The 15,476-nt window shown below is 44.4% G+C and overlaps 1 long non-coding RNA gene across 1 annotated transcript; it reads left to right on the top strand.

Annotated features, from left to right (window-relative positions):
- The first annotated feature begins 3,770 nt into the window (after nucleotides 1-3,770).
- LOC124906266 (uncharacterized) lies at nucleotides 3,771-8,857 on the top strand. Its single transcript, XR_007095996.1, has 2 exons — nucleotides 3,771-4,830; nucleotides 5,683-8,857. It is a non-coding gene; the product is annotated as an uncharacterized LOC124906266 (long non-coding RNA).

The raw sequence follows: 15,476 nt of genomic DNA, 5'->3' as shown, positions 1-15,476 counted from the left end.
GCCAATATTCAGGTCACCTGGTCTAACAGAGCTCTGCTATGAAGAGGATCCCACAAATGTCTTGGAGTTGGAGATTGTAGTGGATTGGATAGTGCCCCCCAAAAAAGATAGATACACCTCCTAACCCCCAGAACTTGTGGTGGTGACCTTATTTGGAAAAAAAGTCCTTTCAGATATAATTAAGGATCTGGAGTTGAGATCATCATCAGGGTGGGCCCTAAATCCAGTGACACATGTCTTTATAAGAAACAGAAGAAAAAAAGACCCAGAGAAGGCAAGAAGGTCATATGGAGACAGAGATCGGATTTGTAGAGCCACAAACCAAGGAACGCCTGGAGCCACCGAAGCTGGGAGAGGCAAGGAAGGATGCTCCCTTAGAGCCTTTAAAGGAAACGCAGCCCTGCTGAACACTGATTTCAAACTTCTGGCCTCTGGAACTGTACAGAATACATTATAGTTGTTTTAATTTGTTATGGAAGCCCTAGGAAGCTAATACAGACAACAAGTGCCTCCTTGATGCCATGCCTGAAAGATGCATCTGTCTCTGCCACACTTTCCTCAGAAATACCCATGGACCTATCAGGCATAAACGGCATTGTCACTTGACATGAGGGGTGTTTCTCATGTTCATTCTCATGAAAATTAACAAACAGCGATGCAGATTTATATTTATTAATGCCTTATGAGTTTAGTTAACATGAACCTTTAGAAGCATTTAGAAGTAGCATGAGCTGGGAGACACACTTGTCTAATTGGTGATCAGGTAGGGGGAGGAACGGCAGTCATGGAGACAAGGAAAGGGAGCCTGTTCAAGGAGACCAAGAACTGAGTCTTGAAGAATGAGAAGACATCATCTAGGGGAGGAGGCTGGACGAGGCATCAGGCAGGGAGAACAGCACAGCAGTCCACTATTCACGAGAATCAGTGTGAGGCAACAGTGAGGAAGGCTGGAAGTTGAGATAAGGGCCAGGTGTTGGAGGGCTTTGCAAGCTATATTCGGAAGTACGTACTTTTCCCTTAGAGATTATTATCAGCTGAGGCGGCATAGGGCATCTTTGGAAATTTGTGTGTCGGCATTTAGTGGCCTTGCAGCCAGGGAAGCTTACTGTCTTTCAGTGTGATGGACAGTCCAGCATAAGCAAGATGTTCGTGTCCCTCCCCAAATTATAAAAGAGCTCCATTCCCTTGAGAAAAACTGCTGGGTGATGATTGGAACCACTGAAGGGGTTTAAAGAGAGAAGTGACAAGACAGGAATTGCGAACAGATCATTCGGGTGCAATGGGAGTGTGAGATTGGAGAGACAGGAGTGAAGGCTTGAGAAAAATTAGGAAGCCACAGTTCAAGTACTTTCAAGGATAATGGAAATAATACAGTCTCGGCCAGGGCAGGGGAAGGAGGGACGGCAGGAAGGGAAAGAGTGATGAAAGGAAGGGGCTGGGAGGTTTAGGGGCTGGGAGGTGAGAGATGTTCAGGTAAAAACAGCAGGATTTTGTATTTGAATAAGGAGTCAAGAGTGCATCTCGGATTGCTAGTTGGGAGGTTTCATTAACAGATATTAAGAATAAAAAGAGAGTAACAAGATCATACTTTATTTGAAAAATGTTATTGAATTGCCTGTGGAGATTGCTAAGCAGAAATGCCCTTTAGGCAATTGGAACCTCATAACATTTGAAGGATGCATTGTAATCTCTAAGGAGGGTATTTTCAAACAGGCTAGCAGAAGGTGGAGGTCCCCATAAGTGGACAATTTGGAGCCTATAAAATTACTAGTCTCACACTAAGTGGACCGGGTGCTTATAATTTAGTGCCATTTCACAAGAAGTTGGTTCCTTTAAATAAAGGGCAAAAGAAACTCTTGACCTTCAAATGAAGGGCTTTGTTTGCACTCAGATTAGTTAACAAAGGAAGACAACTGCTTGGGTGTTCAGCGGTCACGCCACCTTCATAATGAAGACGTAGGTTGTTTCTTGTGAAAAAAATAACTGGAAAAAACAAAGTGTTACATCAGTGTAGACAAGTAAGACTAAAACAAATGTTGACTCTTGCCCTTTGAAAGAGGACCCTAGACTAAGGAAGATGGTATTTCATTTTCTTTATTATGCTACATGGAACACTTGATATTTCTATCAGCTTATGTTTGACTGTAGAAATCACTTCACTACTTTACTTCTTTGCTTCAATTTAGTGTGGAGGAAATTCCCAGTACTATCTTTTTTTTTTTTTTTTTTTTTGAGATGGAGTCTAGCTCTGCCACCCAGGCTGGAGTGCAGTGGCGCAATCTCTGGTCACTGCAAGCTCCACCTCCTGGGTTCATGCCATTCCCCTGCCTCAGCCTCCCGAGTAGCTGGGACTACAGGCGCCCACCACCACGCCTGGCTAATTTTTTGTATTTTTAGTAGAGATGGGGTTTCACCGTGTTAGCCAGGATGGTCTTGATCTCCTGACCTCGTGATCCACCTGCCTCAGCCCCCCAAAGTGCTGGGATTACAGGTGTGAGCCACCGTGCCTGGCCTTTTTTTTTTTTTAAAAGCTCCTTCTAGTCCATGAGGGTTCCCAAAAGGTTTATGAGCTCATTCTCACTTCTTAATTTCATAGCTATATGTAAAATCCGTTAATGCAGGGACCAGATCTGTCCAGTTCACCATCAAATCCCCACAGTTGGCACACTGCCACACACATAGTGGGCACCTAGGCATCTGGTAAATGTTTGATTTTTTAAACAACAACAACAAAAGCTTAGGCAACTAATTACAGCAGTAATTCCTAAATCACCTTTAATGAAGTCTGCTGAGGGGAAAAATAGGTAGTGATGAGAAAGAATAACTGGTAATATTGATCTATTCTGGGGAGAGGGAGACTTAGTTGAGAGTCATTTGAGTTGAGGCCTAATGCCTAAGATGAGAAGCTTTTATGACAGGAAGAAGGAGGAAGCGAGGCAACGGATGATTAAATGCCATGATGGGTGATACAGATGAGTGATGGAAGCAGGAGATTAGGAGAGAGAGAGAGGTGAGGCTGTCAGCCTCCATTTCCTGAGCTATAAAGGGGGAGCTATGCCCTGATATCTCAGTGCTTTCAATACCCCGTCCTGCTCCGTGAGTCTCTGTATGTGGGTTGAAACAATCAAGGAAACTCTCATGAAAGTCTTGGGACTTAAATTGAGCTGCGAAGACAGATCATGCTTAAACAGGGGGCTGAGAGAAGGGAGGATATTCTAGGTGGTAGAAATACCCTAAGCAGAATCCCAGGAACAGGAAGGAGCATCGACCTTCTGGTTGGAAAAAGGTAAGATATGCCCATTCAAGAGGAGCGGGAGAAAGGAATAGAGGAAGAGAGAATGGCTTATGGTAGAAAACACTAGGTCTAATCACTTACTGAGTTAGGAACTGATTATCTCATTTAACCTCACAAAACTCTGTGAGATCAGGACTGTACTCTTAATATCCTAATTTTATATTGCAAAAATGAGAATACTAAGGCACAGGAAAGTGAAAGAACATGCCCAAGACACAGCACAATCAAGTGGTGGGGCAGGAATGCGGCGGCACGGGCTGTCTGACTTCCTAATCCATCACAGGAAGAGAGGGGATGGCCTCATGGCCGAGGATAACCAGAAAGCGGCATTTCTTATTTCTCATTTCAGTCCTGCCTGATGCCTCCTAGCAAGATTTAGGTTATGTCCCTTCTCCCCAATAAGGGTATAAGCCCTGTGAGTGCAGGAAGAAAGACTGTAATGTTTCTTTTCTTTTTCTTTTCCTTCCTTCCTTCCTTTTTTTTTTTTTTTTTTTTGACTGGGTCTCTCTCTGTCACCCAGGCTTGTGGAGTGCAGTGGTGCGATCATAGCTCACTGCAGCCTCTTACTCCCAGACTCAAGTGATCCTCCCCCCTCAGCCTCCCGAGTAGCTAGAACTACAGGTATGAGCCACCATGCCCAGCTAATTCTTTTTTTTTTTTTTCTATATTTTGTAGAGACGGGGTCTCACTCTGTTATCTGTTGTCTGTTGTCTAGTGAGCAATACTGTTGAACTCCTGGCCTCAAGTGGTCCTCCCTCCTCAGCCTCCCAAAGCGCTAGGATTGTTCTGAAGGGCAGGCTTGGCTGCTCACCACTTGCAGCTTTGCAAGCAAATGGCAAGGATGAGATTCAATAAAAAGAAAGTTACTTTATTCCAGAGCTTAGCAGTGGGGAGGTGACCAGACTCACCTCTAAAGGAACCATTTCAGATTTCTGGGCAGAAAGCAGGGTCTTAAGAAGGGAAATTTTGGTACACAGGGCATGCAGGAGGGGCATGGAGGTGTGGCACCTAGAAGACTTGCTCTGAGGACTTATCTTGAGCAATAGGCCATCTGGTGGTCTGGCTGGCACCATTGTGGGCATGACCAGGTTGTAAATTAATCATTGTCTTGAGGCAGTCTCCTGGTGGGGGATAATTTTGAATGTACCTCATTTGTCTTAAGATTCAGTCCCTGGAACTTCTAAGCAAACGTATAATTAGGTAAGCTAGCAGTCCTTGCAGGGGAGTACCTGGTGGAAAGAAAGGAGGGTAGAGATTACATTTGCATTACTAAAAGGTTAATACAAAGAGCTGCAGAAGGAAAAGGAAACAAGAAACCTTCAAAATAGGTACTCAGTTTTAGGATTACAGGCCTGAGCCACCACACCCAGCCCCCAAGTTTCTTCTTGTTCTTTATAGCTCTAGAGCCTGGAAGAGGACTCACTCCTATATTTTTCACTGGAGAAGAGACTCCTACAATTGCGCCTGCCCTACCTGGGACCTCCATCTTCTCAGGTGCCGTGCCAGTCTGGCCAAGAGTGGACACCTTAGTCAAGGTCAGTCTGTGATGACCTTGAGATTAAGTATTGCTAGAGCTCTTACCAAGAAAAATGATCTCCACTAGATTAGAGTATCTATTTCAATGTATCAGACCCTCTTTTATATGGAGTCTGAAAATGAGATACTTGGAGACAATCATCAGTCAGTAGCAAGGCCAGAGGCCAGGTGACATACAGAAAGAAGGCAGTGAGCAGAAACTATAAAGCAGAAAAAAGCAGAGTAAAGTCGACAAACAGTGAAACAAGAAATTGAAACAGGGAGTGGCTGAGTTACTATAGAAAATTCTGGCCGGGTGCGGTGGCTCACGCCTATAATCCCAGCACTTTGGGAGGCCAAGGTGGGTGGATCACTTGAGGTCAGGAGTTCGAGACCAGCCTGGCCAACATGGTGAAACCCCGTCTCTACTAAAAATACAAAAATTAGCTGGGCATGGTTGTACATGCCTGTAATCCCAGCTACTCAGGAGGCTGAGGCAGGAGAATCACTTGAACCCGGAGCCAGAGTTTGTAGTAAGGTGAGATCGCGCCATCACCCTCCAGCCTGGGTGACAGAGACTCAGTCTCAAAAAAAAGAAAGAAAGAAAATTCTAGGACAGAGAAAATATGACTCCCAGAAGGACTGGCTTCATGGGCATGTGACCTGGGCTGAGCAATGCCCCCACTTACTGTCGCTGGCTTGAAATTCTTAGGGGGCCTGCATTTTCATTTTGTACTGAGCCCTGAAAATTATGATGATGGTGGTGACCACAACGACAAAAATGATTACTATTTTAAAAAAGGAGTCAGGCACTATGCAGACTTGAGATTGGGAGATACTAATATTGTTCTTTCCATTTCTCTTGCCCTCAGGTCTCCAGACCTACCAGTCATGCCCCATGCAGGATTCTGTGAACTGTCTCCAGATCACTTCCATTTAAATCCTTCAATGGCTACCAATGCCCTGTGTGATTTTGAACTTGACCCTCTGCAATTCCCCGTCCTCATCTCAGAAGTAGGTCAAGAGCAGGCTTGGAGCCATTCCATTGGAGCAGCTTCTCTGAGAAACACCAAATGTAACCTGGCATCAAATTGTTAGTAGAGAAATATCTCCTCTCAGAGATTACTGCATGTTTTTGGAAAGCTTAAGACACTTGGGGATGGGTGAGGGGATGAGACCCTCAAGGGGTATGCTGGAGGAACAATAGATGGTGGCTGGAGTGAGGCACGAGGTAGGTTAAGAGGGCCAACTTAGAGGTGGTAGATCCTATTTCCCATAGACCTTCTGTTTTGCTGAGTTGGCCATGATGTTTGAGGTCGGAGCTAAATTAGAACAGTGGCACAAATGAGCGCAGCTTGTCTTCTGCCCTTTTCCCAGGCAGAGTTCAGCCTCTCATTTAAACAAATGTTGGATAAATATTTAAAGAACAAAGTTTTAAAGGGTGCTAAACCATCAGACTGCAGCACTAGACAACGTGTTTCTCTCTAGCCTTGCTCACTCCTTCTCCCTTCTCTGTCTGTCTTTCCTTTCACATCCATATTCCTTTGCCCTCCCCTTCCATCTGCCCTGCCGCTCCCCGCAGTGGCCAAGGACACAGGCTGGATCGGATGCCCACATTGGATTCTCAGCCTCACCATTTAATAAGTAAGAGTCCCTGGAAATGGTGTTTTTTGTTTGTTAGGTTGTTCTGGAGTTTTGTGGGCTTTTTCTGCACTTTTGAAATTAATCTCTGTGTCTGGTTTCTCATCTGGAAGTTGGGATAACAGTAGTGCCATACCAACTACAGAGCTGATAGGATTAAATGAGATCATTTATTACCTGGCACCATAATTGGGTAAAACATTTTTATTATTAACACTGTGCCTGACACTTGGAATTATTTTAATCCACTCAACCCAGTAAGCACTTAATAGATGTTCCTTGCATTGAATTGAATGCTAAATCCCATTGCTAATCTCCTATCACCTCATCCTCACCTTTCTCTAACCTCACTCTCCCCCTTGCGAGAACTTCTTATCTGAAGTCAAGATAAGAATGAAAAGAACAATCCAAATTCTGTATTCCCAGATCCCATCAAATATTTTGAATTGCAAACGGAAGCAGAATGTTCTCTGATGGAATACTCTGCTATATTTTCCTGAAAGACTATTTTAAAATATTCATCTACCCTAATTAGTAAAAGAAGGTCGATTTGCAAAGCAGGTGAACGATATTTTGAGGCTCACTCTTGAACAGTAGAAGAGTGTCAGTTCGTGGGACTTTATTGTATGGAGTTCCTAGGGCCTCAGGGTCATGATGTTGGCATTTAAACCTTAGCAAGAAGAGCGCTGAAAGCAAAGCTGACATATATAAGAATGAGTGGGCCCCGGTGCTGCCTTTTTGTTCTTTCAGAAAGATCATAGCATACTAATCGGAATGACTTCTGATTGTTCCTTGGCGGCTGCCACATCACTCTGAACACACCACCCTTCAGTTCTCTGGATGGTCTATTTGGTTATGACGGAATGAATTTTAACACGGTCCTTCCTCCTTCCTTTCCTCTTCCCTCCTTCCCTCCTTTACTCTTTCTCTCTCTGTCTTTCTTCATTTCTGTCTTCCTTTATTAATTCACTCAAGGATATTTAAGGCTGTCTACCACAGGCCAGGCAGTAAACCATATTGAGTTGGTACTTACTCTTGTGAATCTTACAATCTAGCTAGGAACACAGACATTGAATGTTAGTAAATTAGAAGTTGCCATGGGAGTAAGAAGAGATAAGACCGAACCCATTTCTGCAGGATGAGAGAAGTTCCCCTGGAAGAAATAATTATCCCTGGAGATCTGAAAAATGAGCAGTTCAGCTAGGAGAAACAGGCTAGGAAGAGGGAGTGTGGGGGCCAGCAAGGGCAGTGGGAGAAGAGTATGGGAACTCTTTTGCACTCAAGCAGCAGAAAGTGCTCCTGGCCTCAACCTGCAACTGCTCTGGGGGATGCCTGTGGCCCTGAGCACTTCTGGAAAATCTCTTCTACTACCTCTGTGCTAGGGGTGGCTTTGCTTAGAGATGAAATCAGCTGCCACGTCCTGCTGTGAGGTGAGAGGATTTTGTGCCACACTCTGGGCTTGGTCATCTGTGACCACTTCCAGTTTGCACACGTGGAGGTCTAGTCTCTGAGAAGCAAAGCAACTTGCCCGAGACTCAACACTCTGAGAGGCAGAGCTGGAATTAGAACCCAGGATTGTCTGTCTCTAAAACGTGTGCTTTTTCCACAAGACTAAGGTAACTCCTAGAGGTTTTCTTAGGCAAACCTTCCTGCCTGAAAATATCATCTTTACACAGGTGACTGCAACCCTTCCACCAGAGAAAGGTTAGGTCTTAGAAAATAACATAGTTCAGGAATGCCGTCTGACCCAGCAATCCCATTACTGGGTATATACCCAAAGGATTATAAATCATTCTACTGTAAAGACTCATACACGCATATATTTATTGCAGCACTATTTACAATAGCAAAGACTTGGAACCAACCCAAATGCCTATCAGTGATAGACTGGATAAAGAAAATGTGGCACATATATGCCATGGAATACTATGCAGCCATAACAAAGAATGAGTTCCTGTCCTTTGTGGGGACATGGATGAAGCTGGGAGCCATCATTCTCAGCAAGCTAACACAGGAACAGAAACCAAACACCGCATGTTCTCACTCATAAGTGGGAGTTGAACAGTGAGAACACATGGACACAGGGAGGCGAACATCACACACCAGGGCCTGTTGGGGGTTGGGGGCAAGGAGAGGGAGAGCATTAGGACAAATACCTAATGTGTGTGGGGCTTAAAACCTAGATGACGGGTTGATAGGTGCAGCGAACCACCATGGCACATGTATACCTATATAACAAACCTGCACATTCTGCACATGTATACCAGAACTTAAACTAAAAATAAAAAGAAAAAAGAAGAAAATAGCATGGTTCTTTTCCCATGCCCCTGTTGTAATTACCAAAACAAACACTGGGCAAGCTTCGAAATGTTGAAAATGCTTACAATAAAGAAAACGGGACCAGCAGCTTCTTCAAGCTGTCCTTACTGTTTAAATTATGAATACTTTTATATCTTGAATCTTCTTTACCTTAAACTAATACATTCAAAAACCTTTTTGATTGTAAAAAGCAAATACTACTTGGGAGGGGTGACCTATTGAGTCAGTAACACTTAAGGGTGTATATGTTTACTGGGATATTTTCATCCCAACAAGAGAAATAAACGCAGTACACAAATTATAAATGCCCACAAAAGTTGGAGATGGAGAGGCAGAGATTACAGTGCTAAATATAAATGTCACATTCTTCAGGATTTCACCTTGTACCAACTATTTTAAGTTATTATAAAATATTCTGAATTCCCTAAGCCTAGTTCACGTTTCCACTGAACATTTGCTCAAAGTCTTTTCTCCATGTGGAATATCTTCTTACCCCTTGAAATAGATTTTACCTCCTCCAAGAAAACGTCTCAGATCCCCTTAGTCAGAAATAGTCTGTGCCCCCTCTCTCTTCTCATGTTATATGGTGATATGTCTATTATTAAGGCTGATTGCATTTGTTCTCGTCCTACCTAAGGCTAATTAGGCACTTGCCCATTCATTTTCCCTTCTAAATTGTGAAATCTCAGGAATCATAGCTCATTAGTTTGTGTGCCTTCCACAGGGCCCAGCCTAGTGCTATGTACATGATAGGGGCTTAATCAATGTTTAAAGACTTGAAATGAAAATATGTTCTCCCCTGGTTTGAGTAAATCTTTAGTAGAAATTTCTCCATAAATAGTCAAGATGAAGAGTTTTTCAGCTTGAGCAATCCATTTGTAGGATTGCTCTGGCCTTGATGAGTTTTCTTTGATTAAAAAAAAAATGTAACCCAAATGTACTCTCCTATGATAAGCGTCATAATTTCAAGAGACTGAGCTGTTCACAGCCAAACATTTTGAATTCTGTACTATGTTCTGAGCCAATTAGAAGCAATTGGATTTATGAATTTTTTATTTTCCTGATTGATTTTCTATTTAGTTTCTCCTGAATAAGTACTTAAAAATCTCTCCATAACATTCACCCTTTTTGTTGATTTCTAGCCCTAGAGAACCAACCTTTCAGCAATTATACAATCCCTTCACACATTTTTTTTGCATTCCACTTCTTTTAAAGTAGTTTATTGAAATCCTCTCCAGATAAAAACCTTGAAATCATTAAGCAGATCACTGTTCAGAACCACATTAATTCTTCTATTTTTCTTCTTAAAAGAGATGGTTGGTAGACAGATTGGAATAGCAATAAGGTATGGTATTTATCTATAATACCTCTTCCATGATGAATAACTAATTTATGAAAAATCTCATTAGTTGGAACATTTCAATCACAGTAGAATGAGGTCTCTGATCTGGGTCCTGGTTAATTTAGAAATGGCCTCTCTCCCTGGGGACATTCAGAGCTGCTGAAGCCAGCTGGTGATGGGGCCTGAATTTGAATACTGCAAAGCTAGGAGTATGAGCCATAGCTTCTTAATTCCTGGCTTAAAATAGCCTGCAAGGTCTGGGGCCTTGCCCATCACCATTGTTTCCAGGGATTTGGGCCCCTGTCCTGAAGATTCTCTCCCTGTCTGAAATGGTGCCACAATGGTCCTGGGTGCTTCTGTGTCTACTGGGGATTGGACTTCACTGGCACTTAGAGCTGTTGAGCTATGAAAGGCTCAGACTTCTGGAATCTCCTCTTTGACCACAAAATGCTTCTTTCAACACAGACCCTGGGAATCCCCTCTTTAACTACAATCTCTCCTGGCCTGGTTCCCTGGCTCTGACAAGCCCACTGCTTCCTTACTTATAGAGGAAGAGAGTCATAGAGTCCTAGTGGTGGACGGACCATTTGAGAGCATCCTGCTCAGGGTATTTAGCCTAGGAATGCTTTCCGCAAATGAATCATACATGGAAGTCCCATAAGAAAGAACGGAGCTGCTCTGACTGAAGCATATATGTAGACTTCAAACCACTGATTTCAGCCTATGTTCTGGTTTTATACATCACCTGGGATTTTGAATACATTGGCTTAATAGCCCTAGGCTTTAATTCCTAATAGCGAATAGGGGGGTCTCTGTCCCTGCGAAATCCCCCTTCACTGCCACCTCTTCCCGAATCTTCCTGGAAGGCTCCAGAGAATTTCTCACCTATGATCATGAATGAAATTGGCCAGCTCCCCACACAGCACCATCTCCCGGCCTTTGTCACCCTCTCGACTCCATGCAGGGTGGAGTCTATGCTCCTAAATCCAACAGGCATTGCTACTGCTTTTGCTGGGCACGTCTGCTGCCACCCTCTGCAGTGAGTATCCCTGCTACGGCCGTGGAGATGGGGAGGCTCTGTCTAAGGTTGACCTCCTTCTTTTATGCATTACATCCTGTTAAAAGGGCACTAAAGCCAGAATCATCATGAAAATAAACTTTTTGTATTGGCTCACAGGCTTTTCTCTCCCTGTGACAGCATAATTGAGTCAGTCCGGCTGGGATGAGGACCAATCTGTGTCACTGAGGACTGTGGCTTTGGTCCTAGATCAGGTTTGTGGGCTGGATTCTTTCTGCTTTCCAAAATGAGTTCCATCTGAAGGCTCTTCAGTGTCTCAGGCAAATTATTTCTTCTGGCAGTTCACTAGATGCATTGAATGGCAGCGGTCCATAAGCTCAGTCATCAACTGGGCCATCTCCTTTCATCCTTAGCCAGGGACCCCTCTCTACTCACCTCTGCCCCCAAACACAGAGTAGGAAAACAAGGTTTGTAAGAAACTTTTAAAGTCTGAGATCTCTTGATTTGTCTCTCTTCAAGGGAAAACACATTTCTAAAAAGTGATCATTTGTATTTATCACAGCAATGAGAACTGAAACCTAAGCAATTAATTTAAAATTTTGATCAAGCAAACCAATTATACCGTGTGATCTAGAGACAGAACAAGGATATAACTAGTCACTAGGATAAAAAGTCACACCACACACACACACACACACACACACACACACATTTCCCTAAACCACAGAGGGACCTTTCCTCATTCCCATTTTTTCCCCTTAGGATTGGTTTAAAGCTTTGCTACTCAAAGTGTTGTCCACAAACCAGCAACATCAGCATCACTTGGGAGCTGGTTAGAAAGGCAGACCTTCAGTCAGACCCCACTCCAGAACCCCTGGATCTGAACTTGCATTTTAAAAATGTAGGGGCTAGACACAGTGACTCATGCCTGTAATCCCAGCATGTTGGGAGGCCGAGGCGGGTTGATCACTTGAGGTCACCAGTTCAAGACCAACCTGACCAACATGGTGAAACCCCGTCTCTATGAAAAATGCAAAACAAAACAAAAAAACATTAGCTGGGCATGGTGGCATGCGCCTGTAGTCCCAGCTACTTGGGAGGCTGAGGCTGGAGAATAGCTTGAACCTGAGAGGCAGAGCTTGCAGTGAGCCAAGATCATGCCACTGCACTCCAGCCTGGGTGACAGAGCAAGACTCCATCTCAAAAAAACAAATAACAAAAACAAACAAAAAAAAGTAGGAGGTTCATACCTACATTCCAGTTGTGAAGCACTGCTCTAGATTTTATCAACCACTTACAGATAGAGACAATATGTTTCTGAGCCTTTGCTGTTCACATGTGGATGAGGTAAAGGAAGAAACAAGTCTTGGGGAAGTTGGAGGAGGATCAAGATAAAAAGTGCTAAAGAAGGATGCTGGGAATGTTCGAAGGAAAAAACCTTCATACTTCTCAGTTTTGCCAAAAATTGGCTCTGGGCACCAGCTTTTATAGTTGAAGCCAAGAGAAACATCATCCAACTGTATAATTTCAAATAGGAACTGTGGTGTTTTCTCCAATTCCACTGCTAGGCTCAGATCAGGGCCAGCGGCCCAGCAGACCAGGACCTCAATTTCCCCTTTCCTGACAGATGACAGTCCCAGAAGCTCTGTTTAAGAATTTAGGAACTGGCTTGAGAAAGAAGATATAGTCACCATTGCTTTTTCCCTTGACTGCAATCAGTAAATGCTCTGACAATGTTGAAGACATGTTGCTGGGGGAAGAAAATCCTAACATTAGTAAGTCACAATGATATATCCGGAGATTTTTTTCTGTTTAATCCTTCTTATGCTAGGGCATTTAGATATCTGCGGAACAGAAGTAGGAAAGTACCTGGCTTTGCAAAGTAATGCTGTTTTATTTGCAGAAGACGGTGAAGCTTAGCAACTACAGTGTCTAAAAACAGACACCACTTCCCTGGACTCAGATCTCACATTCCTGGGCATCCTGTCCTACTGATGAATTTCTCACTGGGAGAGCACCAGATAATGGCATTGCAGGAACAGGGGTGAAACCTGCACCAACACGCCTTTCCTGTGCCTTCTCCAGCTTACACTTTGTCCAGTGATGAAATCAGTCAGGGATGGAAGTGCAGCTGCACATGCACCCTGTGCTCACACCCTGCTCTGGGTAAATACCACTGCCCCAGATCATTTTCTTTTCCACTGAAAGAATCTTATCTTGGTGACCCAGGAAATCCAGGGCTTGCAGCCAGATACGGTGCTGTGGGTGTGGTGCCTCCGCTTGGCCAAACAGCCGCATATAACAACACAGAATTAGAAGTGGAGTCAGGGCAATGCGTCTCACTCGCCACTCTTTTATCTCTGGAGACAGGTTGCTATTAATCACTCCGACCACATCTATCAGGCTTCTCTGATTTGGCCACGGCTCATAGTCACAGAGGCACAACCAGGGTCTCCTGATAAATCAAATCCAACAGTTCTATGATAAGGACGACACAGGTGAATGAAGGGCAAAAGCATAGTCGTAGCCACGAGTCCATGCTATTAAAAAACTGGAGGAAGAAAATTTCTGCGCACTGTTAACCAAGTGCCAGAGACTATTAATTATTCTGTCTCTTTCTCTCTCTCATTTCTATCTTATTCTTTTTATCTCTCTATATACGTAAAAAATATATATATATATATTTTTTTGAGCCAAGGTCTGGCTCTATTGTCCAGGCTGGAGTGCAGTGGCACAATCTCGGTTCACTGCAACCTCTACCTCCTGGACTCAAGCCATCCTCCCGTCTCAGCCTTTTGAATAGCTGGGACTGCAGGTGTGCATCACCATACCTCACCTATTTTTGTATTTTTTGTAGAAACGGGGCTTTGCCATGTTGCTGAGGCTGGTCTCAAACTGCTGAGCTCAAGCGATCTGCTCCCCTCAGCCTCCCAAAGTGCTGAGATTAGAGACAGGAGCCACTGCACCAGGCCTTCTGTATATAATCTTATTAAACCTCCACCACAACCCTATGAAGAAGCCAGCATTATTCCTGTTTTAAGATGAGGAGACTGAAGCTCAGTGAAGTTAAGAAATGTGCCCAAGATCCTGGGCGCGGTGGCTCACGTCTGTAATCCCAGCACTTTGGGAGGCCGAGAAGGGTGGATCATGAGGTCAGGAGATCGAGACCATCCTGTCTAACACGGTGAAACCCCGTCTCTACTAAAAATACAAAAAATTAGCCTGGCGTGGTATTGGGCGCCTGCAGTCCCAGCTACTCGGGAGGCTGAGGCAGGAGAATGGCGTGAACCCGGGAGGCAGAGCTTGCAGTGAGCCGAGATCGCGCCACTGCACTCCAGCCTGGGCAACAGAGCGAGATTCCGTCACAAAAAAAAAAAAAAAAAAAAAAAAAAAAAAAAAAAAGAAAGAAAGAAAAAAAGAAATGTGCCCAAGGTCACACAGTTAGTAAGTAATGAAGCCAGTATAGGATGATAGCAGAAAGAATTAGAATAGAGAGGAAGATTGCATGGTAGGAAACTGAGTCTGGGGGGCAAAGAGAAAATGAAAAGAGAAAGAAAAAAAGGGAACAAGAAGACAAGTCCAGGAGCAGAAAGCAAGCTGCCTGTGTAACCGGAATTCCTGCACTGGGGCCTCAGCTCTGCCACACACAGGCTGGTGACTTGTGATTTGTGGTACAAATCATATAACCACAGTTTCTTAATCTGTAAAATGAGGTTAGTAATGAAATGGGAAGAGTTCCCTTATCCCCCTCGCAGGGCATGTGATGGGGGTGCGGTTGCTTCTTTGGTGCCCCGCTGCTCAAAACCCCTAGGGGAAGAAGACAGTCGGGCAAGTTGTGGGGCTCCGATCCCACGGCAGGGTCTGGGGCTCAATGCTCACAGCTCCTGAGGCCCCAGTGGGCATGTGTTACAGGGTGCTCTTTTAGCATAGCCGTCCGTAGGCCGCTTATGTTTATCAACTCAATTAGACCCCCTGCCTTATCACAAGGACAGAAGGCTTTCTGTATCCCAGGCTTTCTTGCCCTGGTGTATGGGAAGAATCGGCTCACACGTGGGCTTGGAGAATGACTGCAAGGTTTTACTGAGTGGAAGTAGCTCTCAGCAGATGCGGGAGCCAGAAAGGAGATGGAGTAAAAAGGTGGTTTTTCCCCTGGAGTCACGCTGCTCAGCGGCCTGGGGTCTTCTCTGACCGCACCGTCCAAATTCTGGCTCATTCTGCCGGTGGATGGCCTGCCGGCCTGCCTGCATCTGTGTGTGTCTGTCTGTGTGCTCTTACGCAGCCGCGCCCCTCTTGACGTCCAGCCACTTGTGCCTTCTTCTGCCGCTGCGTTTGTTTCTCTCCACATC

The sequence above is a fragment of the Homo sapiens genome, chromosome 3 (assembly GCF_000001405.40).
Source record: "Homo sapiens chromosome 3, GRCh38.p14 Primary Assembly".
NCBI classification, from domain to species: Eukaryota; Metazoa; Chordata; class Mammalia; order Primates; family Hominidae; genus Homo; species Homo sapiens.
This window is presented reverse-complemented; position numbering and strand designations above follow the sequence as displayed.